At 42.1% G+C, this 27540-nt stretch overlaps 1 protein-coding gene across 11 annotated transcripts in view, besides 4 other annotated features; it reads right to left on the bottom strand.

Moving 5' to 3' along the window:
• Positions 1–27540, bottom strand: part of VGLL4 (vestigial like family member 4) — a 165749-nt gene that overhangs the window by 66625 nt on the left and 71584 nt on the right. For 2 of the 11 annotated variants that reach the window (NM_001128219.3, XM_047449263.1), the window contains exon 1: positions 20746–21224. The exons of 8 other annotated variants lie outside the window; for them this stretch is intronic. In NM_001128219.3, the coding sequence (NP_001121691.1) occupies positions 20746–20827 (82 nt within the window). In that variant the 5' untranslated portion in view covers positions 20828–21224. Of the gene's footprint in view, positions 1–10425; positions 10731–20745; positions 21225–27540 lie in introns of those variants that run through there. One more of the 11 variants, XM_047449261.1, reaches the window with a different exon arrangement.
• Positions 1765–1814: an enhancer, noted in NCBI's record as "active region_19431". NCBI's record gives its function as "activates an Ori minimal core promoter by ATAC-STARR-seq in GM12878 lymphoblastoid cells {active_cell/tissue: GM12878}" and the evidence as "EXISTENCE:reporter gene assay evidence [ECO:0000049][PMID:35858748]".
• Positions 16312–17263: an enhancer, noted in NCBI's record as "H3K27ac-H3K4me1 hESC enhancer chr3:11680477-11681428 (GRCh37/hg19 assembly coordinates)". NCBI's record gives its function as "activates a minimal SCP1, AML or CMV promoter by ChIP-STARR-seq in naive H9 embryonic stem cells {active_cell/tissue: H9 hESC(naive)}" and the evidence as "EXISTENCE:reporter gene assay evidence [ECO:0000049][PMID:30033119]".
• Positions 19808–20177: an enhancer, noted in NCBI's record as "active region_19432". NCBI's record gives its function as "activates an Ori minimal core promoter by ATAC-STARR-seq in GM12878 lymphoblastoid cells {active_cell/tissue: GM12878}" and the evidence as "EXISTENCE:reporter gene assay evidence [ECO:0000049][PMID:35858748]".
• Positions 21368–21447: an enhancer, noted in NCBI's record as "active region_19433". NCBI's record gives its function as "activates an Ori minimal core promoter by ATAC-STARR-seq in GM12878 lymphoblastoid cells {active_cell/tissue: GM12878}" and the evidence as "EXISTENCE:reporter gene assay evidence [ECO:0000049][PMID:35858748]".

The following is a 27540-nucleotide window of genomic DNA, read 5'->3' on the forward strand; positions in this document are numbered from 1 at the left end:
CACGATTAGTTCTCTAGGCCCCTTATTCTCTCTGCGCCATTAACCTTTAGGGTGTAGCTCTTTGTCAGTCTCACTTCAATTATGCTTTCGAGGGATTATAGAATTAGCAATTCCAGTTTTGATGGCACGAGCTCTGTCAAATCAGAGAGACAGATGTGAGCTCATGTAACTGAGAGGCTTCCATCTGTTGGACTGAGAACTGAAACCTGGAAAGGCTCTTGTATTTCCTTTCTTACGCTTCCTTGGGCTGTTCCAGCTTGGAATTACCCATTTACTTACATACTTGGTATTTGAGCAAATATCTTAAATAGCTGAGGTAGCAACCTTTCTTGCCAAAGGTGGATGGCTACTCACCATCCACCTTTTAGTTATGGATTCCAATGCTGGTGACAGAGGAGAAAGTGATGTCACCTCATACATATCCAAATCCTAGCATCCACAGGAACCCACACAGAATCAAAGCCCCTCACTAAGTTAACAGGTCATCCACTGGGATCACATCAAGGCTCTGTCGACTGGCTGGAAGGAACAGAAGGAAGAGCCCATGGAACAGAAGCAGCAAAGGATTTTATTTTCAGCAGAGTGAAAATTAGGTGTTGTATACTAAAGAGAAATTAGTCATCCTTTGGTATATATACTCAGGGGATTGGTTCCAGGAATCCCACCAATGGCAAAATCCACACATACCCAAGTCTCAAAGTCCACTCTGCAGAGCCCGCTTATAGGAGAAGCTGGGCCTCTACACACATGGGTTTCACATCCTGCAATATTTTCTGTCTGCAATTGGTTGAAAAAAAATCCTGAGTCGAAGTGGACCCTCGAAGTTCAGATGGTATTGTTCAAGGGTCAGCTGTGTATTCTTTCTGTCAGGGTTTTCTGTAAGTTGGGAATGCTGAAAATTTCTACAACTGTCTAGGTCTAACTGTCTGCAGGTGACAAATGTATTTCTGAAAATTAGATAGTAAATTAAACCTGATCGTGATTTAAAGGCTCTGCTGAGCTCATATGTAAAGCAAAAGTGGTTCTCAGTTTAATTTCACCAATCTGTGAAAATTTTCTTTTTTTTTTTTTGAGTCAGGATCTCTGTCACCTAGGTTGGAGTGCAGTGGTGCCATCATAATTCATTGCAGCCTCAACCTCCCAGGCTCAAGTGATCCTCCCACCTCAACCTCCCGAGCAGCTGGGACTACAAGTGCCCTCCACCACGCTTGGTTAATTTTTTGTATTTTTTGTAGAGATGGGGTTTTACCATGTTGCCCAGGCTGGTCTCGAACTCCTGGGCTCAAGTGATCCTCCCACCTCTGTCTCCCAAAGTGCTGGGATTACAGGCATGAGCCACAGCACCGGGGCAAATTTTCCTTATTGTTTTTCATCCAGCCACTCCTATTTCATGTCTAGTACAATGCTTTCCAAAGTGAGTTCCTGGATGACCTACGTCAGAATCACCTAAAAGACTTATTTAAAACACATATTCCTAGGTCTGGCTCCAGTCCTAATAAAAAGTTGTCCAGGGACCCCCACGATATGTCATTTTAGCGTGCCCCAAGAGGTGTCTCTTCTCATGCCTCTTCCACTTTCACAACTGATCAATACCAAGATCAGCCAACACCACATCAGACATTTCTAAGGACGTGTCAGCAGTGACGTGGCACATGGGAGAACTGATGATGTATCTCAGTACTCACATCCACTCAGGAAATGCCTGATGAACGAGTTTCAGAAAGCAAGATTTAGGCCGTCCTGGTTACCTCCTGCCAGCACTAACACGTGAAACAGCTCAAGACCAGCTTTAGGAGGGCTCACCTCTATTTTCAAATAATGACGTCTTTCTCTAATTTTTTTTTTAATGTTTGCCTCTTGAGAGATCAGGGACTTCATTAAGTAACCCTCCCATGCCTCAGTTTCCCCATATGGAAAATAGCTATACTATCTGCTGCCTTCTATTCCTATAAGGCATACAGTCATATACTTCCTATTTGTCTTTTGCACAACAAAACAACTCATTCCCCAAAAGCTTTGAATTAGGCTTGCAAACATAGTCCTTAACTACCAAACTGTAAATTTCTCAAAGTCTAGAAAAATGAGAGGGGCAAGGAAAGAAACAAAAAGAAACTTAGGCTTAACTGTACCAGCTAGTCTCAACTTGATCCGAAGGAACACTGCTAGCATTCTCTCAGCTAGCTTCTCACGATTACATTTAAAACCACCACAAAGCCACCACGATCACGCTCTGAGAGGCCGCCGCAGGTAAACAGAGGGATAGGGTAGGAACAGCCCAGCATAACTGACAATGCTCTTTAGGGGATCTGCAGATCTGCCTTCTCAAACATCTCATTTCACTTCATGAATATTTACAAAATATTTGCAAAAGAAGAACTAAGGCAATGAACATGTCCAGAAAGAACCACATGCTAACTTCTAAAGGTTTCTCTCTCCAAAAATTCAGTAGTGCCAGAGGCCTGTTCTTTTGTCCCAGGTTGTTTTTCAAGTGCTACCTCATGACAGAATGGATCACTCATAATAACTAGATGTTAGCATCTGTGTCACATAATTCATCTCTGGCAGTCCACTTCTTTTAAATCCTAATAGTAGGCCTCCTAAATAGGATTGCTAGCATTTGGCATCTCATTTGCCTCTATGACAACAAAACTCTAGAAGACGTAGTTTATAATACATTATGGTTTCAGCTGAATGACATTTGGTTCTAAGGTCTTTGAAAGTACAAGTTTGAAAATGCCAAATTTTATCTATATCCATATCTATAGCTCCATCTGAAATTAGACAGATTACCAAACAGAAAATGTCACTCAGATTCTAAAAATAAACCATGCTATTGCTCCAGACAGGTTACACCAGAGGGTTAGGACCATGACATTTTGCTGGGGTTCAAGTGCAAATCAGCAAACAAAATGGCATGTTTTTCTCTTCCTTTTTCACAGCTAAAGATTAGTGAAGGCAGCATTGTAGTCTGTGTAACTGCTCAACCCAACCTTTATCCAGGAGCTAGTATTGCTTCTTTAAAAACATTTTTTTTTTTTGTAAATAAAATGTGGTACAGCCATACAAGGAACTACTACTCAGCAATAAAAAGGAATGAAGTAACAAAAGACCAAATATTGTATTATTCCATTTATATGAAATGCCCAGAATAAGCAGATCTATATAGACAGAAAGTAGATCTGTGGCTGCCAGGGACCAGCAGGACGGGGGAATGGAGAGTGAAACGGGTCAAGGTTTCTTCCGGGAGTGATGAAAATGTTCTAAACTTTGATCCCAGTGATAACTGTACAACTCTGTGAATATATTAAATACCATTAAATTGTATAATTTAAACGAATGAATGGCATGGTGTACGAATTATATCTCAGCAAAGCTGTTAAAAATCTTAACTTAAAGAAACTATCATCTTTTAAAAGCTATAGCAGAAAGAGAGCCAGCACTGGAGAGAGTAAATATGGTGGCTTTTCACCTTTCCAAGAATCTCAATGAGCCCTGGGCATTGCAAAAATTAGTCAAGCAACTGTCACAACTGCAGTGGTAACCAAATACGGAAGCTGAATCAAATACGGAAAGGAAATTCTTTTGAACTCAAAGACACAACCTTTCCAAAAAAATACACTGCAAGCACACAAACAGACCACACAAAGTCAAAACAAAACAAGTACCTGTGTGGGTGGAAATGTATCCAAGTGCCACTCTTTTCTTCAAGTCTTTCATTCTCCTCTTATTACTTCAAAGATAAGCCCTGGATGGGCAGGAACTAAGTTGTTTTGGTTTTTTCTCATGACACAAAAGATCTGGCAGAGCTGGAGATTTCATTACCTTGAAAGGCAGTAATATTTGAAGGTACCATGACTATTCCCTGAACAGTGCTCTAAACACATTGTGGTGGCTAAGAGCTATGGTTATCCCACCTCTTCAATGAGAATGGGGCATTCATTCTACAGAAAGCCACTTACAGACAAAATGGGTATCACATCATCCATAAAATGAAGTAAAGAACAGTTGGCTGAAACTTCCCAAACAGCCCGTTACTCCATGTGATATAAATGGGTTTGCAAAGCTCAACAAAGGAAGACAAGCACTAGGAAGGCAAAGCCAGTCTTCCTAGCATGATAACCAAAAGTGTCTCAGCCCTCTAAAGAGCTCTAGGATCTCAAATCATGTGCACAATACAGAGAAGTGCTAATGGTGGAAGGGATGCACAAGAGATGGTAGATGTCTTGCCCTCAAGGAATTCATATTTTAGATAGGGTGGCTGGGGGTGGGGGTGGGGGGCAGTGAAACTGGATTATTTTTTGGCAAACATGCAAACGAGTGTTATCACTTAAATGTAGTCATACTAGAATGACTTGACCCTATTCCAAATAAAATTGCCACTGATTAAAAGACACTTGCAAACTCCACTTGTGGAACTGGCTTCAGAATGACAGAGAAAAAACTAGCTCTTCACTTTATAGGCATACTTATGTATAAGTATGGCAAGGAGTAAGCACTGTGTTTGTTTTATACACACACACACACACACACACACACACACTCTCTCTCTCTCTCTCTCTGTCGGTTTTTAAATTACTGGCCACTGGTGAGAAAACCATCAATGTGTCCAGGCGCAGTGGCTCACATCTGTAATCCCAGCACTTTGGGAGGCCGAGGCAGTTGGATCATCTAAGGTCAGGAGTTCGAGACCAGCCTGGCCAACATGGTGAAACCCCGTCTCTACTAAAAAAAAAGAAAAATTAGCTGGGCGTGGGTTAGCCGGGCGTGGTGGCAGGCGCCTGTAATCCCAGCTACCCAGGAGGCTGAGGGAAGTGAATCGCTTGAACCCAGGAGGCAGAGGTTCCAGTGAGCCAAGATCGTGCCATTGCACTCCAGCCTGAGTGACAAGAGTGAAACTTCATCTCAAAAAAAAAAAAAAAAAAAAAAATCAATGTTCTGAGAATAAGATCATCGCAGTATTACGTTAAATGTGTAATTTTCCAAGGTAACTATTACTTATTTAGATGTGTAGGTTGTTACATTTGTTTGCTTTTCATCAGTCACATTTACATTAAAGACAATAAAATACAAAGTGATATAACTGCCAAATGTATATTACAGACTATAAACTCAACAGAAATTCAAAAGAGGATGATATAAACATATCACACATTGAAAGAGGACAAAGCATCTTGCTAGGCACTGACATTTTAAAAGGTTAAAGTACAAAAGTTACTTTAGATAGGAGGAATAAATTCTGCTGCTCTAGTGCATAGGAGGATTACTATGGTTAACAGTAAAAGATTGCATATTCTAAAATAGCTACATGAGAGGCTTCTGAAGGCCCTCACAACAAATAAATGATAAGGTAATGAATACAAGAACTACACTGACTGGATCATTATACAACATAAATATGTATTAAAACATCAAATTGGCCCAGCATGGTGGCTCATGCCTATAATCCCAGCACTTTGGGAGGCCAAGGTGGGCAGATCACCTGAGTTCGGGAATTCGAGACCAGCCTGACCAACATGGAGAAACCCCATCTCTACTAAAAATACAAAATTAGCCAAGCATGGTGGTGCATGCCTGTGATTCCAGCTACTTGGGAGGCTGAAGCAGGAGAATGGCTTGAACCCGGGAGGCAGAGGTTGCGGTAAACCGAGATCGTGCCATTGCAAGCCAGCCTGGGCAACAAGAGTGAAACTCCGTCTCAAAAAACAAAAAAAAAAAAGAAAAGAAACATCGAATTGTACCCTAAAAATAGATACAATGTGTTGACTAAAAAATAAAATTTATCAAAAAAAGTTTAAATGTTTTCCCAAATATGAAAAATTAATAAGCATTTAAAAATTAATCAATCTCGGCCGGGCGCGGTGGCTCACGCCTGTAATCCCAGCACTTTGGGAGGCCAAGGCGGGCGGATCACGAGGTCAGGAGATTGAGACCATCCTAGCTAACACGGTGAAACCCCGTCTCTACTAAAAATACAAACATTTAGCCGGGCGTGGTGGCGGGCGCCTGTAATCCCAGCTATTCTGGAGGCTGAGGCAGAAGAATGGTGTGAACACGGGAGGCAGAGCTTGCAGTGAGCAGAGATCGCACCACTTCACTCCAGCCTGAGTGACAGAGCGAGACTCTGTCTCAAACAAAAACAAAAACAAAAAAATCAATCTCACTGCTAATAACTTTAAATTTAAATATGAGATACTACTTTGGACCAAACAATTGCCAAAGATTTTGGGGAAAGCATGCTGATTAGCATGCAGTAAAATAGGCACTTCCATAATCTATTAAGACCTTTCAAATATAGGAAATATCCTTAATGACCAACTACAGAGAGGTGTTTGCATAAATGATGCCATAGCTATAGGAAAAATAAGTAGACATTAATGATTTTTTGTAGAATTTCAAAACCAAAGCCAATTTTCACAATACTGAATGAAATAAAATTCAGAATATAAAATTTTAAACACACTATGATTTTGGTTGTGTTAAATTATATACACTCAGGAGAAAAGACTGAAATCAATAGTGCAATATGGTTGTTTCTGGGGTGTAGCCAATCTTTTCCTATTCTTTATACATGCCTGTGTTTTTAAAAGATTCTACAATTCTCTATATTTCTTTGGTATTCAAAAATAAAAGCAGACAATAAGAAGAAATATTCTTCCCAAAACATGTAGATTGAAAAAAAAAAAAGGTTAAGGTCCAATTCCTGCCTATAAGATCTTCCAGGTAAAATTTCATAAAACGAGGTTGGGCCACACCTTGAAAGATACATAGAATCCACATAGCTGGGGCTGGAACTGGGGGCTCACACCTGTAATCCCAGCACTTTGGGAGGCAGAGGCAGGTGGATCACCTGAGGTCAGGAGTTCAAGACCAGCCTGGCCAACACAGTGAAACTAAAAACACATAAAATTAGCCAGTTGTGGTGGCAAGCGCCTGTAATCCCACCTACTCGGGAGGCTGAGGTAGGAGAATCACTTGAACCCGGGAGGCAGAGGCGGAGGTTGCAGTGAGATGAGATCGCTGCACTCCAGCCTGGGCTACAGAGCGAGACGGGTCTCAAAAAAAAAAAAAAAAAAAAAGAATCCACGTAGCTGGAAAGGAGTAGAAAGGGCATTCCAAATGGGAGAAAAAACTCAAAGAATCTAAAGAGGGAATAGTTGGCAAACCAGAAGATAAATCAAATTGGAGTTACGAGAGCTTAATCCTTGAGCTTTATTTTAACAGGCCAGTGGTTGGATGAATCACTACCAAATAAGAAATAAAGCAAAGCTATACTAAGCTAAAGGAAAGTGTTCTCAAAAAAGAGTCTTCTGTGCCACGTTGGTGTTTTTTCACATCCCTCTATCTGGCTGCCTGCTGGTTTCCATGGCTTAGATTTACCCATTTGGAAAAACAACCCCTCCCCTGACAATACCAAAATCACTACCTCTGCCATGAAATTAGGCAAGAAATATACATACTCCAGCCTCTAATTTAGACAATAAACTTGCCAAAAGTACGGAATATATCTTTTTTTCACATAGTACCAATCAACAGTGTCATAATAGGCATTCCAATAAGTAATGAATTACAAGTTAACAATGAGCAACACCTTAATATTGTCCATAAATCCCCACCAGAACTGAAATTTTACAAGTTGGCAATATCAATTATTGGTAAAGATTTAGAGTTCCTGGCCGGGCGTGGTGGCTCACACCTGTAACCCCAGCACTTTGGGAGGCCGAGGCAGGTGGATCACCTGAGGTCAGGACTTCGAAACCAGCCTGTCCAACATGGTGTGACCCTGGCTCTACTAAACACACAAAAAATTAGATGGGCGTGGTGGCGGGCGCCTGTAATCCCAGCTACTGGGGAGGGTGAGAGAGGAGAATCACTTGAACCCAGGAGGCGGAGGTTGCAGTGAGCCAAGATCACGCCACTACACTCCAGCCTGGACAACAAGAGTGAAACTCCGTCTCAAAAATAAAAAATAAAAAAATAAATAAAGATGTAGAGTTCCTGAAATGCTTATACACTGCTGGTAGAAGAGTAAGATGCTATAACCACTTTGGAAAACAGTTGTGCAGTTGCTTAAAAAGTTAAACGTACCCAATAATCCGGCAATTCTACTAAGTATTTACCCAAAAGAAATGACCACATATGTCCACAAAAAGCTTGCATAAAAATGTTCGAACACTGTACAACAAAGTGTACCTCTTAAAATGGTTAAAATAATACGTTTTATGTTATATATATACTTGGCCACAGAATAAACAATTCTGAGCAAGTTCATTCATTATAGTTGAAAACCGGAAACTTAAAACATCATCCATCAAGTTTAGAAGAGATGAGCAAATTGTGGTATACGCATAAGACGACAATGCCAAAGAACAAACTACTCCAGGAGCATGCATGAATCTCAGAAACACTACGTTAGGCACAAGAAGCTGGATCCAAATTACTTTATACGACGTTCAAGACCAGGCCAACCTAATATATAACTGCAGAAGCCAAAACAGTGGTTCTCTTTGGGGGATGTGCGTACTGACTGGTAAGGAAGCTCGAGGAGGCTCAGGGGCGATGAGAATGCTCTCCCTCTTGATCTGGGTAGTCAGCCCCAATCAAAAAGACTATTAACAATAAATACAGAATAATGGAGGCCAAAGTTTAGACAGCCCAAGGCCAACCACTCATAACCAAAACTTAAGTCATCCTGATTTCCCCAAACACTAAACCTAAATATAAAAGAAACACAAATCTGAGTTTTTTGTCCTTATCAGCAGATAAGGACAAAAATAAGGTTTGATAAGGATCAAACCCATCAACTAACAACAAATCAGCTTAAACAGCTGTCTGCCTTAAGGATCTATACATGACAGCCATTCATGAAAAAGGTCAGGTCATTCCTCCTTTATGCTCTAAACTGCACCGTAACTGCTATAAAGTAAGACTGTGACATTTTTGGGTTTGAGGTCTCCCAGTCCATGAACTCTCCTCTTGTATGTATGAGAAACACTTAAAATTCTAACTTGATCTAATTTTATGTTTGACAAAACATGGGGGGAAAAATTTACAAAGCTATACCCTTAGGAGTTCATCATAATTAATTATGCCTCAATAAAAATAAAGGAAGAAAGAAAACAGAACAAGTGGAAAATCCCAGTCCATTATCCCAATTAAGCCCCAGGTTTGCATTTTATCTAGCCCTCACGAAGTACTCCACTATCATGAGGTCAGAGCTCATCATCAGAAATCCCCCTCGGAGTGCTGTAGTGTCTGTCCTATTCAAGGCAGCGTTAGGTCTGACCACAGTATTTTCAGAACATACAACTAATCCATCAATTTCTTAAGCCTTTTAAAATTCACTGAACTTGGCCGTGCGCAGTGGCTCACACCTGTCATCCCAGCACTTTGGGCAGGCAGATCGCCTGAGGTCAGGAGTTCAATTCCAGCCCAGACAACACAGTAAAACCCTGCCTTACTAAAAATACAAAAATTAGCCGTGTGTAATGGCACGCACCTGTAGTCCCAGCTACTTGGGAGGCTGAGGCGGGAGAATGGCTTGAACCCAGGAGGCAGAGGTTGCAATGAGCTGAGATCGTGCCACTGCACTCCAGCCTGGGTGACAGAGCAACACTCTGTCTCAAAAATAAAAAAAAAATAAAATAAAATTCACTGAATTTAAAAGTTCTACATATATTTCATTCCTATTAAGACCCAAGACGAACCATTTCATCTTTCTTTTTAAAAAAGGCTAATAATGCTTCAATAAATGCTAGTTCCCAGTATAGTGACAGATACAATGGAGTGAGGCAGTCTGACTCTGGCCATAGTTAACAGATCAAGGAAAAAAATCCCACACTCCTAAGATTCCAAAGAAATTTTCTGCAAGTTTCCTTAATGTACTTTAAAATCCTTCAGAAGACCATGGGGAAAATAAATCATCCTCTCAAATTCATATTCTGAAGTTTGAAAATAAAAGCAGTTCCTTTTCATGTTTGGATATAGTCACTCTGAACAGTAAATCAGCTAACAGACATCAACCTGGCATAAGACTCTTCATAACCTGTAATTATCTTCTTTATTTCCCTGTTGCTCATCTGTCTCCCCTGCTAGAACATACACTCCATAAAGTCAGGGATCTTGCTGTCTGTTTTGCTAGCAGCCATATCCCCAGCACATAAAACAGTTCCTGGCACATAATGGGTATTAAATATTTTCCCATCAGTGATCAGTTCGTTTAGCAGACTGTCCAAAGTCAAGTAACTAGAAAGCAAGACGAACAAGGGCAGCTATCTGTAATCAAGCAGCCAACTTCAAATGTTTTCCTACAGAAGCTAAGTCCTAAAGAGTTTTTCTTCTCTCTCTTCCCCTCTTATTAATATTCCTCCTTTTCCCAGCTATCTTTCCTGCCTCTAAGAACAGTATTCTAAGAATTAAGAAACTCACTTGTATCACCAACTCGCTGAGTATCCTTGGGCTAGTCAGGCAATTTCAATGCTTATCTTTAGTCAAAAGACACTGGAGTCATTCATAAGGAGACAACACTTGCCTGGTGTGAAGAACGAGTAGCTGCAAGACAAAATCCTAGCCCTCCCAGAAATTAGAGTAAGCCAGACAGAGGAGGGAGGTAACACAGCGAGATAAATTCCATGGCAGAAGTATGCACAGCATGCCATGAAAATACAAACACCTAATCCCTCCAAGAAGGCAGAGGAGGGCCAGGAGCGGTGGCTCACACCTGTAATCCCAGCACTTTGGGAGGCCAAGGCGGGCAAGATCACGAGGTCAAGAGATCAAGACCATCCTGGCCAACACTGTGAAACCCCGTCTCTACTAAAAATACAAAAAAATTAGCTGGGTGTGGTGGCACGCACCTGTAGTCCCAGCTACTCAGGAGGCTGAGGCAGAAGAATCGCTTGAACCTGGAAGGCGGAGGTTGCAGTGAGCCGAGATCGCACCACTGCACTCCAGCCTGGCGACAGAGCAAGACACCGTCTCAAAAAAACAAAAAAAAGATGAAGAAAAGAAGGCAGAGGAGAGGAGGGTCACTTTCCAGAAGAAGCCCTTGCCCTTGAGGGACTAATAGGAGCCACGAGAAAGGAACAGGGAGATTTCAGATAGAGGCAAAAGGGCTTACTCACAGGAAGCAGTTTCACGTTATGTGGACTGCAGGGTGTGAGCGAACATGGAAAGTAAGGCTGAAGAGGTAAGCCGGAATGATATTCTGGTAATATTACAGATGTAAACCTAGAAGAAGATGAGATTAGAGGCAGGGAGCAGTTTAGAGATTATTTTAGCAATTAACAGGAAAATTAATGGAGACCTCGTAAGAGAGGAGTTCCCAGGACCTCTTCAACCTATTCCACCCTTTGCCCCAGGTGACCACGCTCACTCAAAGCTTCAAGTATTCTCTATCCAAGTATCTCCAGCAGCAGCCTCTCCTGAGCTCTAGAACCATATACCCAACTTTCTATTATTTATCTCTTCTTCGAAATCTCAGAGCCTTTAAACTCAACGCAGCCGAAGCTAAGCCTATGAGCTCACCCCAGAACCTAGTCCTCTTCCTGTGTTTCCTGTCTCTGCAGATGGCAGCACCACCCATCCGCTTGTAGGAGCTGGAAACCTGGGAGGCACCCTTAGTGTCTCCTACGTCCTCTCCCTCATCCGCTGTTCAATCCATCACCAATCCCTGCCAGGCTCCTCCCCTAAGGATCTCATACGTCTATCCACTGCTTTCCTCTGTGGCCACCGTCAGAATTTGCCTTACCCCTATCTCTTGCCTAAGCCAGTGCACCAGGTTCACATCCTCTCCTATTACTATTTCATCTCTTATTCCCTTCCAGTCCATTCTCAAACTGTGACAAAAGTTTGTTTTTAGTGCTCATCAGCCTGCGTCACCCTTTTATGCCCGCCTACTCACCCCGAGGAGCTCCATCAAGCCCCTCTTCACTGGTGTTGCTCACCATATGTGCACCAGCACCTTATTTCTGAAGGAATGAGGACTCAGGTTTTTTTTTTTTCTTTTGAGACCGAGTCTCACTCTGTTGCCCAGGCCAGAGTGCGGTGGGATGATATTGGCTCACTGCAACCGCCGCCTCCCAGGTTCAAGTGATTCTCCTGCCTCACCCTCCCGAGTATCTGGGATCGCGCACCAGCATGCCTGGCTAATTTTTATATTTTTAGTAGAGGCGGCGTTTCACCACATTGGCCAGGCAGGTCTCAAACTCCTGAGCTCAAGCAATCTGCCTGCCTCAGTCTCCCAAAGTGCTGGGATTACAGGCGTGAGCAACCGCCCCTGGCCAGGACTCAGTATTTGAGCAAAGGGAGGCAAGAATTTTAAGAATTTGTAAAAAGTCAGTATTGCATGGCATAAAGAGACTAAGGTAAAGACTAAAAAAGACTGAACTTGCCACTAGGATATCATTTAGTGACCGTGTCTGGAACAAATTCAACAGAGTTGTGGGAGCAGAAATCAGAGGACAGCAGATTAAGAGGGAAAGGGCAGAAAGGGAGTAGAGGTGAGCTGGCCTTCTTCCAATAACGTGGATGGCAAGGACGATACAGTCTAATGGCTGGAACAAACACAAGATTTAGGGAAGGGTTTGTTTTTGTTTTAAAGTTGGGAGAGACTTGTATAGGAGCACATGATGAAGGGAAAGAAGCAGGAGAGGAAGAGGAGGGTATCAGAACAGAAAGAGATCTGTGAGCACCAACAGAACAATCTGCCTTCATTTCCCCTGAAGGAAGGAACATGAATGGTGATGAATTCAGAAGAGCTTGCAGGCAGGGAAGCAACATGTGGTTCTTTTATTTTCTCTAAGATATAGAGCAGATTCTTCCAGCTCCACAAGAAGGTCCTCTCCCACTCACTCTCTCTTTATTGGACAAAATATAGAACCAAATACTGTATGCACTGTATCAAACACCAAGAGCGCAATGCTTGATGTCCACTGTGAGTTCTGGAACTTTACCTTGTTCCCTACCAGTATCAGCCCTCTTTTATTGGTATGAAGCCTCTAATAGAAAAAAGCCTCCCAGCCTGGTCTCCAGAAACTGGTGTTAACTGCTCCGAATTTTGAATTCAGCAGAGCTGTGCTAGAAAACTGCACATAAGGTTTATACTGAGAATGACAGCTATTTTCCATTCCCTTTACTTTCTAGTCGGTAGAACTTAAAGCCTGGCACAGCTGCTATTACATATTCCTTAAACAGCGAACCAGATCATTCTCGTGGGTGATTTTAAGCATTAGAGAAGAGGTCATAACTTTTCAGCAGGAAAATAAAACAAAGGTTCTTTCTGGGGTCAGCCAATAGTTTATCAGTGGCTCATCAGAAAAACAATAGTTTAAAAGGACTTGCGTAGTTAAGAATGGAAGAACATGGGTAAAGAAAAAAACTGCTGACATTAAAATAGAATTTTAAATTAATCTCTTGTCGCGTTAATAGTACTGCCATATAATGGAAGATGCATTTATTTTCTAAGGGGAAAATGTCCAGAAACTTGCACTCATCACTCCCTTAACTGTTATCAGGGAAGAAGTGTAGAGTCTCCCAGCTGGATTATGGGTAGTGTAAACATCTTTGCTAAATTGCTTGGCAGAGTACATCTGCATCAAACCATTAGAGTCTGGAATTCACTCTATTAAAATCAAATCATTAGCCAAGAAGAATTAACAGGAAACTATTTTCATGCAAAACAGATATAAAATAAAAATCAAGAGCAATACATGAGTAATTCTTTTTCATTCACAATTTTAGATGGTGCATAATGCAGAGTATTGTTTTAGAAACGTGCTGCTCTCTAACAGCCATCTCTATACAATATAGGGTATTGTTTGGATACTGGAGCAATTTAAGCTTTTTCTATGTATCCAAAAGTCCCTGGATTAAGATCCAAAGAAACCTGGCACAGCAACAAAGTTGACTTGTAACACATCTCAGCCTTTAAGCAAATTGTTTATTAATGCAGCAGGAAAGTCGCTGTTCAGGCCCTAAGTAAGCTATGTATCTCCGGAAGTGTCCCCCATGTTGCATTCTCCAAAACTGTGCAGAATTTTCTCCTAGTTTTCCATTACACCAAGGATGGTGGGAGGGCTTCAACAGGTGATGAAGAATGTGAACAAAATACTAACTGAAAAAAAAGTTCTTCCCAAAGTATCACCAACTCTGTTTAATAAACAGTGGAGCTACAGATGAATGAGAAGGGAAGCTGGGACATATATTATCTGTATATAATGTCTGTATATCCCACAGCCAAGAGTTCTCACACTCAAAGAGACGCTGGCTTCACATGGAGAAAACAACCTCTCAGGATGTGTGCACTACTTTAAAAGATCTCACAAAAAAGATACAAAAGAAGGCATACAGGCATCTCCCTATACAGGGTAAAAAAAAAAAAAAAGCTAGAATTTGTTTAGAATTAGACACATGGTAGTAAAGGTATAAAGAAAAGCAAGTTACAACTGTGGTGAACTCTTGGGGCTGGGAGGGATCTGATCAAAAGATAATACCTGGAAGGGGCGATTTACTATTTCTTGACCTGGCCATAGTCACCGGGTTGTTCATTTCTCTAACCATAAAATACACATTTTTATACACTTTTCTGTATGTATATTTCATTATAAAACATGTTGAGAGATCGATCCCTAATACATTTCTTAGTAGAGTATAGGCATTCCATAAATGTTTAATAACAGAATGGATAACAAAATGGTACTAGTACTAAGTTTTCTCTAATCACTTACTAGATATATTTCAGTTTGTCATGTTTACAGACTTCTTTGCAAACAAAAGAGTGAAATATTAAGAGTTTGGAACGATCCTATGCATAGCAACACATTAAAGAGGACTTTTAAGAATAGATTCTCTATTTCATTTAGAGTAAATAAACATTCTTTCAACTAGTCATGATTCACATTGATAGGATTAAAACATTCTATACATAATACCTTGAAATTAAAACAATCAACAGAATTAAACAACAATGCAGAAAAGGCAAGACAGCAAAGCAAAGTGACAAAAATAATTCCTTCGAACTTACAGAACATGTAACATTCAGAAAGGAAAGGAGAGCAAATGAAGAAAGCAAAATCATTTTCAGGTCCTGCTTTTAAAAATAAGCAACCACGGTTAGGATTTTGTTGTGGAGTTGGGGGGTGGGAAATGACACATGAGTTCATTAAAAAATAAAAGACGGAGAGAAAACTGTTTTGGAATACAATGCAGAGCAAGTCTTAAAAAACAGTTGCCATGAGCTTCAATGTGCAATAATAAATACCACTAAATAGAAACCGCCACTGAATAAACGTCAGATACTTTGAGATGACAAAGATCGCCAGAAACATTCCCTGGTCCGACTGTTTTTATATATTTGTGTACATGCGTAAGTGCTAAATCTGGATCTAATTTCTTCCTGAAAAAATCCAGTTTTCTGCAACATCCTCACAGTCAGGGAGAACTAAGCTATATTGAGAAGTTTGGAATCTCCTCACGTGCCAAGGAGGATTGCTTTCTATCTTTACCGCATGTTTTAAAAAATCTTCACAGCAACACATCCAGGCACCCTAGGAATACAAGGCCACGCAGACAATAGGGAACGGAGGAAGGAGGGAGGAAGACAAACCTGGCCTCCAGAAGGAGCCAAGTGTAGGCTCCAAGAGATAAACAGCCAAGTACAATAATCTTTCGAGAAGCGGGCTGAGAAACAAGGGTGGGAGCTGGAAGGAAGGGTATAATCACACCTTCCTTCACAAACTGTAATTAGGAGAAAGACACCAGCCAGGCCAGCTCTCTCGCAGAGCTCCTGGGCTCACCTGGGCATGTTTTACTAACCAAGCTCCTCCTAGTTTCTTTCTCTCTCTCTCTGTCTCCCCCTTCCTCCCTAACCCCCACTGGCCCCCACTCCCTATCCTTTCCTGCAAGTAAAAAGCTAAAGTAAAATGACTTTCCACAGCAAAACAGTTACAGATGTTCTACCTCGGAATACATCCCAGATCAAGAGCTCGTCACTTGATATGCAGGGCTGGGGACCAGGAGAGGGTACGAAATGGCCCTGCGCTGTGGCCTTTTCACCTACCCAAGCCTCCTAAGTTTCCTGAAGGTTCTGAGCTCATTAGACAAAGAACAATGAAGCCAGGACTCCACTCAACCGCTGGTGGTTAGACTGGTGGAAAACAAAAGATCACAGGGTCTCACTGAACTCAGCAACTCTCCAGTGTGCGTCTTCCCTTCCATTCCAGAAAATTAATTTAAAAGTTGCCCGTGATGAAACAAGGGATAACTGTGCCTAAAACAATGAACCGTTCTAAAGCTTGAAGTCGGAATAATTCGCTCTTAAGCTTTGAGAGGATCACACTATGCAATGTATTCCTACTTTCTCCCAATATAAATCACGCTATTAAATTAAAAGGAGAGAATTCTTCCACCAAATTACACACTAATGGCTCTTAACCCATAATTAAAGTATCGCTACCAGCAGTGTAAAGCCCCAGCCAGCCAGGGCTCAGACCCAGGTCTCAGCCCCAGGGATGATGTCAGTGCAGCGACAGCGATCTTGAGGAAAGCCCGTGGTCTAACCTGTCCCTGTCCCTGCTCCCTGGGGACTGGCTCTGGAGCTGGCATCCACGCAGGCCTCCTCCTCTGCACAGGCAGACAAAAGGAAAGCAAGCCCAGTGCCAGAGCAGCACGAAGAGCACCTTCCAGCGAGGCCGGTCACTCAGAGGTGTCTCACCTACCCTTTCCCCAACATCACAACAGCCTCGGAATTTGGACCAGCAACTGGCTTCAGAGCAAGGAGAAGTGGGAGAGGCTCCACTGTGTGCTGTAATCCAGGGTGTTATCCCCGTGCTAGGCCGTGAGGGCACCCAGGACGGGGCATGACCCTAACATCACGGAGCTAATGAGGAGATAAGACATGAAATAAGCCCGGCGCGGTGGCTCACACCTGTAATCCCAGCACTTTGGAAGGCCAAGGCGGGCGGATTACCTGAGATCAGGAGTTTGAGACCAGCCTGGCCAACATGGTGAAACCCTACCTCTACCAAAAATACAAAAATTAGCTGGTCATGGTGCAGGGCACCTACTGTAATCCCAGCTACTAGTGAGGCTGAGGCAGGAAAATCACTTGAACCCGGGAGGCAGAGGTTGCAGTGAGTGGAGATGGCGCCACTGCACTCTAGTCTGGGCGACAGAGCAAGACTCCGTCTCAAAAGAAAAAAAAAAGACATGAAATAATTCTGGAGAGGCAGCACGGCATAGAAGATTCATAGAAGAGTCAAAACTCAATTCAATCCTGCCACAAACTTTCTAAATAAACTAAATCAACTCTCTGAAAAACAGAGTTTCCCTCTCTGAGCCTCACTTTCCTTGGTGAAAACAAGGCAAAGGTATTAGATGATGTCTGAGGCCCTGGATAGCTCTGCAATAATTAGATAGAGAATACAAGGCAGTATATAATCAAGTATTAAATTATACAGGAGCAACTACAGCTGCCATTGAGAGCTTGCACTGATTTTTTTTTGAGTCAGCCTTCATTCTAAACCACTTCCTGAAAGCCCACTCAGACCCTGTGCTAGGATTCAGGGATGCAGCGGTCACCAAGACAGAATGCTCTGCCTTCACGAGGCTTTCGCCAGTCTAGTAAGGTATTCTCAGGTGTTCAGAGGAGGGAAAAAATGAGGGCTGGGGTTGGCCTATGACCTTTGCATGGAGACAGAGGCAAAACTGGGCTTCAAGTGGGTATCATCTGAGCATTCAGTGGGGTGATGGACGCAGTGGTTAATTGCTGAGTACGGTAGTAATAAGCCATGAGGTTCTGAACACATAGCACAAGCCCAGTTCTACTAATCCGCTCATCATTAGTGAAGGGAATTAGTTAGCTTCCAGAAGTCAGCCAGACTTCGATTCTTCCGGCCCTCTCCCTAACGTCTCCTTCTCCCACCCCAAACCTGCTAATTGTGGTTAACTTTTTCCCTTTATTCTTTTCAGTTATTCTTGCAGACAACTATGGTGGAGGGCAGGAGCCAGGAAGCAGTTACCAAGGAGGGAGTCCACATCTAAGCAATATGGAGTCAGTCAGGAAGGAAGACCTTGTATGCTACAAGGTAAACGGCTAAAAAGATCGATTTGCGTATTAAGTCACAAGAGAGGTTTAAGAAAGACAGTACAGGCTGAGTGCGGTGGCTCATGCCTGTAATCCCAGCACTTTGGGAGGCTGAGGTGGGTGGATCACCTGAGGTCAGGAGTTTGAAACCAGCCTGCCCAACATGGTGAAACCCATCTCTATTAAAAATACAAAAATGGGCCGGGCATGGTGGCAGGCACCTGTAATCCCAGCTACTCAGGAGGCTGTGGCAGGAGAATGGCTTGAACCCGGGAGGCAGAGGTTGCAGTGAGCCAAGATCGCGCCATTGCACTCCAGCCTGGGGGACAAGAGCGAGACTTCATCACCAAAAAAAAAAAAAAAAAAAAGACCAGACACATGGTTTATTTTAGAGTAGAGCTATGTCTCATACAACTAAGGAATATGGTATAATTTAGCTGGTAAGAATAATTAACCATCCGCATCTTAATTTTTAAAACTAAAATGTCATAAAATTAATTTGTCCCTTATTCTTAAGGGGCATGAAACTTGACTGTGCCCTAAATGAAATCAAATGTTGCCTACCAACAGTACATTCCATTTTCCAAACAACTTCCCTGGAATGCTGGGGAGCTGATATGTTTAAAACGAATATTCTCCAAGTCCAAGTGTTGGATTTTAAAGAACCATAACCTTTCCAACTTTTCCTACAAAAAAATCCCGTGTGTGATTTATGCCCATCTTCAAAACACCCTCTGGAGTTCAGACCAGATGTGTGCAGTGTTTACACTGAGAAAACCACTAGGACATCAACAATTCACTATAAACACCACTCAAATTTTGCTGTGCTTTCCTTCATTTCCTCTGTATTTATTCTGGTGTTAAAATAATGTTAACTCTCATAATAAGGAAAATAGGAGCAGATGTTTAAACCAAACAGACTTCAGCCCATTATCCCATATAGCTACTCAATCTTCAAAATCAAAGTTTCTTCCTCCCAAATACCGAGAGAGAAGAGCAGAGCAGAGCACTCTAGTTTCCTGGGTGTTGCATGCTACACAACAACTCGACCTGGGCTCGCTGTCCGTAAGTTGGTCCTCACCAATCGGAGACAGGAAAAACTAATCTGGTATCAATTTCCTAACAATCTTATATTTCTCTCTTAGGCCATTATGTTTTGTTTTTAAAATATCGTATTACTTGTTGGCAAAGACAATACAACAGAAATTGCCTCAGAAGTTTTTCTTTCTTGTTGGGGGAAGCGGGGATGGTTAAAAAAAAAAAAAACAAGAAAAACAAAACCCTGACTACAATGTGTGAATGTCACGGGAAACAAGCCCAGCAATGGCTGCTTACGGCTTTCTAAAGTCGGCTGCCTTTTTTAAGTGAGTTCAGAAGCAAGATGTTACTTAACACATCAGATGCAAAGAAAGAAATTCACGAAAATTCTCATAGCAGGAACTAGTAGGAGTAAAGAAAAACAAATACTCTTTTTAAAAAACGTTAAATATGAGATCCTCATCCATAGAGTTTTAAAAAACAACGTGAATGAGGGTTGTTGTTGTTTTTTTTCCTTGAAGGGGAAAAATACTCTTGAAAGGGTGAGTTTTCAACTGATTAGGAAACAGGCCTGAAGTTTTTAGATTAAAAAAATACAAGTGAATCACCCTCCCAAGTTTTTGTAACTGTTTTCTTTTTCAAGAGAAATGTCCCGTGTATTATTGGAGAAAAAATGGAAACTGCTCCTGCTGAATGAGAAAGAGAAGAGTCCCGGATGTGTGTGTGGTTACAACAGAAAACACTCTTCCTGCCAGGCCGAACTCCCCCGGAGATGCCCTCGGCGGCAGACCCAGGGCCATTGCCACTTTTTCAAATCGCACGTAGAGGATGTCCGAGGGCTTAAGAAATAGATTTTTCTCTGACTGCTACCAGAGACAGTTGGAAATACAAGACAGTGGGGGAAGCACCTCGCGGGCAGTAGGAGGTAATAAATAACAGTTCGGCGCGGCTCTCTCTTTTTCAGGGCAGGCTGGGGGTCGGGGTGTTGTGTAATCGCTCCCACAGGGAGCGGAGCGCGAGGAACACCCCCCAGTGTCAGCGCTCCCCGGGCTGCACAGGAAGCGCCAGCGAGACAAAGAGCCCGCCTGTGCTCGCTGACACGGTGCCCTTCCGGCCCCACGCGGGAGAGGGACATTCTCCGCTGTTTGGGACGCTCACTCGCGAGCACAAAAACTCGCTGTAACTTTGGCTCCCCCTCCGTGAGCTGCAGGGCGCCGTGGCCCACAGCAGGGTACAGTAGACGGTGCAATCCTTACCAGCCCCTCCCCCAAAGAGGCTCAACTTTTACCGGCGTCCTACAAGTCCTTCCCCTAAAGACAATATTAACGGAAATCAAAAATACATACATTTTAAAGAGTTAAAAATGTGAGGCGCGAGTACGTTGCAAGCAACGAGCAAACTTTGAAGGGTTTCTACTTCACTGCCTCCCCGTCCAGCCCCCTCCACCGCCCCCCGCAGCCTGAGATCCGAACACACTCGGTGCCGAACCGAACCTAAGAAACGCCGGCCTTTCAAGTGCCCTACACCCCGGAGGAGGACAGCGGGCGCTTAGAAGGCAGGCACCCAGCACACTGAGGAGGAGTGGCCGGGACGAGCAACGGGCAGTAATTCTACAACGGGACATCTACCTTCGTAGCACAGAATGCCGATATTGTTGTTCATCTTGTCCAAGTACTGATAGTTCAACAGGTCCATCTTCATAAATAGCATTTATTGGGCTAGCAAAGAAAACCAGCTCTTTGCTTTTGCCCCAAAAGAGTTAAGTTTCAAAAATCAATTGTTGCTGAGTAGCTCCTGGCTCTTCAACTTCACAAAGGCAGAGGCCCAGCCTCAGACTATCAAAACAAAGTATGCAAAAGTTAAAAAAAAAAAAATCAGGCACAAAAAAATCGAGCTCACACGAAACCCTTCAAGGGCTTACTGGTAGACGGTGTATGTACTGTATCCCCGATCGAGTATGAAAACAGCGTTTCAGAAGTCCTTACAAGTCCTTCCTGGAAATGGAAAAGAGTGAAAAAGAGAAACGCGCAGCCCGTTTCCTAGGACAAAGCGGCGCCGGCCCCTCTCACAGCCCGCTGCAAGCCGGCAGCGCTGACATGAGGGCTATGCTTGGCATGACTCCTATGCCGCCGCTTCCTCTTCCCGCAGGAGGCCGAGCATGCTCACTGCGCCGCGCTGCCGAGGCAGGGAGGGCTTCTGCACAGGATCAGCCTCTCAATGTAGCAAGTGTTGGAAAGAAAGAGAAAGGGGAGGGGGAGAGACTCTAGAGACGGGGCCTTGGCAGAGTGGCTCTTGACAGGAAGCAGCCAAGCCGCTGCAAAACCGTAGGAGGAAAAAAGAAAACCCAGGAAGTTTCTTTTTCAGGAGCTAAGTACAAAGTAAAAAATCCATCATGGAAGCAAACTCCCATGGAATGCAACTTTCGTGAAACTTCATGTTGGGGTTTCGGAAACCCAAAGTGCTAGTGATGCATAAGCCATATATATATATATAGTGTCTTTGTTTCTTTTAAAGATTGTTTTATAATATCCATTTACACTTTAACTGGATATTTAAATTTCTGATGTTAATGTTACATATAGCTTCTTCCATAATCCCCATAACAACTGAGATGGACAGGGCAAGGAGGGTATCACCCTTTCACAGCAGAGGAAACAGGTTCAGATGGATTAAATGACTGGCCCACAGCCCCCAAAATAGTTGACAGAACTACTTTTAAAGTGTTTTTTCCCACCTAATGTTATAATTTTATTTAAAAAAACGAGGGGGCCGGGTGTAGTGGCTCACACCTGTAATCCTAGTCGAAGCAGGCGGATCACTTGAGGTCAAGAGTTCAAGACCAGCCTGGCCAGCATGGTGAAACCCCATCTCTACTAAAAATACATAAATTAGCCTGGTGTGGTAGCGCACGCCTGTAGTCCCAGCTACTCAGGAGGCTGAGGTGGGAGAATTGCTTGAACCTGAGAGGAGGAGGATGCAGTGAGCCAAGATCGTGACACTGCACTCCAGCCTGGGCAACAGAGTGAGACTTTGTCTCAAAAAAAAAAAAAAAAAAGAAAAGAAAAAAAGGAGACAAGGAGAGGAGAAGAGATGGAAGAGTGTTTAAGCAAATAGGGCTATAATATCAAAAATTAAAAGTGTACTTGAAATTATAGAGGGAAAGGGTAAAATTATTTTCATTTGGCATGTATGTCACCCACCTGTGTGTAAGAAGCTAGTGGCATGCAGCTGTACTATTTGCTATTGGAAGAACTTGGGGCTTAAACTTTGATTACCCAGTGCCTAGCACAACCAAGTTCAGGTGCCCAAAAACTGTTTACTGAACGAGTGAACCACTGAATGTTCAGTTTTCAGCACATCAAGAACGTGTTAACAAAATAGAAAAAAAAAAAACAAAAACTAAACATTTGAATTACTATTCTAAAAATATATTTTTAATATTCCAAAATAATATTTGAATAAATAATTTGAAGGAGTTGTATGTTAAAAATCCAGCAATAGGCCAGGCGCGGTGGCTCACGCCTGTAATCCCAGCACTTTGGGAGGCCGAGGCGGGTGGATCATGAGGTCAGGAGATCGAGACCATCCTGGCTAACACGGTGAAACCCCGTCTCTACTAAAAATACAGAAAATTAGCCGGGCGCGGTGGCGGGCGCCTGTAGTCCCAGCTACTCGGGAGGCTGAGGCAGGAGAATGGCGTGAACCCGGGAAGCGGAGCTTGCAGTGAGCCAAGATTGCGCCACTGCAGTCTGCAGTCCGCAGTCCGGCCTGGGCGACAGAGCGAGACTCCGTCTCAAAAAAAAAAAAAAATCCAGCAATAGTTGCATTGGGTTTATTAGGCACACTCATGGCAAGGTGTTCTAATGAAATCTTACTTGGGAGTCCGGATGCGGTGGCTCACGCGTGTAATCCCAGCACTCTGGGAGACTGAGACGGGCGGATCACTTGAGGTCAGGAGTTTGAGAACAGTCTGGCCAACATGGTGAAACCCTGTCTCTACTAAAAATACAAAAATTAGCCGGGCATAGTGGCATGTGTCTGTAATCCCAGCTACTAGGGAGGCTGAGGCAGGAGAATTGTTTGAACACGGGAGGCAGAGGCTGCAGTGAGCCAAGATTGTGCCACTGCACTCCAGCCTGGGTGACAGAACAAGACTCCGTCTCAAAAAACAAAACAAAACAAAAAAACTATATGACATCTAAATACTAAATACTGTTGCCGTCATTGCTGCAACAGTAATCACTGGGGTGACATCAGGGGAAGTAAGTAATAGGGGAATCAAGATTTCACAAGCTTTCATTTATAAGAATATTTATTGACACTATATTACATGTAATAAGCTATAGTGAAAGATATGTATCCTATCAATTGTAATTAAAATACTTAATGGTATTTGGTGGGGAGGGTTGAAGAAAACTCAAAACTCGTAACATCCAGTATACATGAGATCATTGCACTGAAAACAAACAATATCAGGTATCAGATTTAAATTTAACTGATAGTTTTGGAGTACTCTTACTGTGCTACGTTTTTACATAAATTCTCAATCAGAAAACTTTATCCATCATTGTCCCACATGGAAGAGAGGTGGCTGCACATTAGAACCAGGGGGGAGCTTTTAAAAATCTTGCTGCTGAGGTTGCATCCCCAACTCATCTGAGGTGGGAACCAGCAGCAGTAGCTTCTAAAGTCCCAGGTGATTCCAATATGCAGTCAAGGTTGAGAACCATTGCTTTCATCTAGGGAGGAAAAAAAAAAAAACCCTGCCTTAAGATATTTCATTTTATTCACTTATTTTGACATGAAGAATTTTTTTAATAGTAATTTAAGCAAATGATTCAAACAATACCATTGTAGAAAATGAATAAAATATTTGGTAACGTCCCTTAAGGGACTCAGCATCACTTAGAACAGCAGTTCTCAGCCTCCGGGTGGCAACCATTTTCGTGGACACCGTCTCACAGGTCTACCTTGACTATTGTAACATTCCCAGCCACAGCCACCACGTCTTTCCCGCTGATCCGGGAGGCTAGCACGGTGCTACCCAAGTGTGATCCAGAGGGGTTCGAGCACCAGGTGTTCCTAGTCCCCAAAAGCTAGATACAGAAACGGAGAATGAACATTTAAAACTTTTATAGCAATTCGATAGACTAATTTTATGTCTCTCAAATCTTAATATTAAAGAAATTTGAGGGCTGTAGTTTTCGTATTTCTAGTTATAGGGCTGCATTACATTTTATAAACTATCAGTCTGCAACAAAGTCTTGGGGAAAAATGAAACAAACCTGGTTTCACAGAGAAGCTTGTGCTCCAGAGGGGCCAGCTACAACAGCCCGCCTCTGCAGGCTGGGAGCGCCTCCTGGACCGGCTCTAGGCCTTTCCATCCCAGCTCCTGACAACTTTCACCTTAGTTTCAAGCACACTGGATGACCTGCAGTGAGTTATTCCACAAAGCACATCAGTATGCTTCTCGGTGTGCAGGACGTCTCTTCTTTCCCAACCTGTCTACTCAGCAAACATCCACTCTTCCTTGAGACTTGTCAGAAAGCCCCTCTTGTCCTGTGAAATCTCCCTACGATCCCATCCTACCATCTCCTCACACCCTACGCCAAGCTATCCTTTTACAGGGTAAGTAGTCCTTATCCAAAATACTTGGACCAGAAGTGTTTTGGATTTCGGACCTTCTTGGATTTTGGAATAGTTGCATTATACTTACCAGTTGAGCATCTCTAATTTTAAAGTCTGAAATCTGAAATGCTCCAATATGAGCATTTTCACCTGAATGTTGTGTCAGCACTCAACACTGTTCAGATTTTGGAGCATTTTTCATTTCAGATTTTTGGATTAGGACGCTCAACCCATACCTTATATGTGCTTCTTTCCTAGCCTAGATCTTCGGAGCAAGGACTATGCCTTCCTCACCTTTTCGAGGTCAGTCTGGCAGAAGTCTGGCAGAAGCCTGGCGCATGGTAGGCCATCAATAAATACCAGCTGAATAAAATCAGTAAACATCTAAACGGCAGATTCTTCATTTCCCCATCCCTACTTCCAGCACACTCTGGATTATCTTACTCGATGTCATTAGGTGGCTGTCAACATCTCTTGGAGACCACAGGTCCTTGCCTTTAAGAAACACCATGTAGATTCTGATTGTACTTCAGGGTACAATCAGCTCATCCATAAAAAAAAAAAAATACTAGAAAATATCAATCCTTCTCAGATTCATTCATAGGATAATATATTCATAATTAAAGTAGCAACAGGATAGTTTTGTAGGGAATTGGAAAGATGGGTCTAAATTTTATCCACACACACAAATGAGATGGGAAAAGCTAGTTCTTTTTCTACGAATGAATAAGTTTGATCTATCAAATATTTAAAACATAAAGCAAAGAATATATTTTGGAGTGTTACTGGGTAGAGACTAGGTAGGACCAGACAGATACTGTGGATATAGGAATCAGAAATCCAGGCCAATGGGGAAGAAGTGGATTACAAAACAAACATTACTGAGAAAAGAATCCAGATAGCACTTTGCCTTATACTGTACATCAAAATAAATCCCAAATGTTTTAAAGATTATTTAGATGCTTTTAAAGTAAGGTTTTTGCTGCAAAAACTTACAAAACTATAAGGATATGTTCAGACTATCTGATGTGGAATAGGAAAACATTTGCTAAGCCAGAAATAAAATTTTTAATCAAAGACAGAAGCCACCAAGGAAGATGTAGAATTTGATTGAGAATACAGATTTTATGCTTTTATACATCTAAAAACACCAAAACCAAGTAAAGGCAAAATACAAAACTGAAGAATATATTTGTGTCATATATTACAGTGAAGGATAAATGTTCTTGGTATTCAAAGAACATTTAAAAATAGAAAGAACAAAGGAAAAAATTGAAAAACCACTTGATCTGAATAACATTTTTTAAGAGCATGAGAAACAAATGGCCAACACATTTTTGAAAAACTATTCAACCTTACTAATAATCAAAGAAATATAAATTTTAAGTGATTTTCCAGCTACCAATTTAACAAAAAGACTTTTTCAATCTTATTTCTTGCTGGTGAAACAGGATGCCATTGGAATCTTTGCTCACTGCTAATGCAGTATAAACAGATAACGCCTGTGTATAAAGCAGGTTGGCACACACTAGACTGTTTTATGAAAAATGTCCATGCCTTTGTCCTTGCCTTGGACTCTACTTCTAGACTTCTGTCTTAAGAAAATAAGATTTGAAGAGTTTCATAAAGATGCTTATCATACAGCTATGTGTAAAATGAAAACCTGAAAACCTAAAGTCCAAATAAAAGGATGCATTAAAACCGTGGCTTATCGATGACAGACTATTACGCAGCCATTACAACACCTTCAATAATCTATAATGACATGAGGAAATGCTATGCTATATACTGTGTGACAGTACTACATTTGTTAACTGAAAACAATAAAAATCGGATATAAAACTAAAACACACATTATTCACCAACTGTGCTAATGTATTTATGAAAACATACATATATATATAGGAAAAAGTATACATTAAAAAGACTGGAAAGTATTCCAAAATGTTAATAGTGCCCATCTTTGAATGGTGGGCATTTTTTCCATTTTCCTGAATTTCTAACTAGCCTACAAATAGTTTATTCTTCCTATAATGAAGATGCGGATAAGGAAAGTTCTTGATTTTTAAAAAGCAGCAACACAATGAAATAATATTCCCTGGTGAGACATAAGCAATGGATATGTATATCTTATTATAGCTTACATATCTCATGATATCTCCTTTTGATTTGGGTTTAACAACTTAAAAATAATAAGAATCCAAACATTTCTTTAGAACTTTGGAACATTCAAAGATGTTTAAGATGGGGTATCTGTCTCAAAGAGCAAAATTGACAGAGACAGCTCTACACTTGCAGAGCTTATAGACATGTGTACGTGCTTTTTATCTTCTACTGCTTACTAATTATGTCATATGTCAGTACCAATTCCCCCAAACTAGACCATAAGCTTCTAGAGGGAAGGAAAGCTAAGCCTCAGTCCTTAGAGTAAAACTCCCCCACAGCACACAAGTGCTCTATTTGGTTTGGTTTGGTTTGGTTTGGTTTGGTTTGGTTTGGTTTGGTTTGGTTTGGTTTTTTTGAAACAGGGTCTCCCTCTATTGCCCAGGCTAGAGTGCAGTGGCTCAATCACAGCTCACTGCAGCCTTGACTTCCCAGGCTCAAGTGATCCTTCCAACTCAGCAGGACCACAGGTGCATGCCACCGTGTCTGGCTAACTTTTTTTTTTAATCATTTTTTGTAGAGACAGGTTCTCACTGTGTTACCCAGGCTGGTCTTGAACTCCTGGCCTTAAGCCATCCACCCGCCTCGGTCTCCCAAAGTGCTGGGATTACTGGCATGAGCCACCACGCCTG

This window comes from Homo sapiens, chromosome 3 (genome assembly GCF_000001405.40).
Source record: "Homo sapiens chromosome 3, GRCh38.p14 Primary Assembly".
NCBI classification, from domain to species: Eukaryota; Metazoa; Chordata; class Mammalia; order Primates; family Hominidae; genus Homo; species Homo sapiens.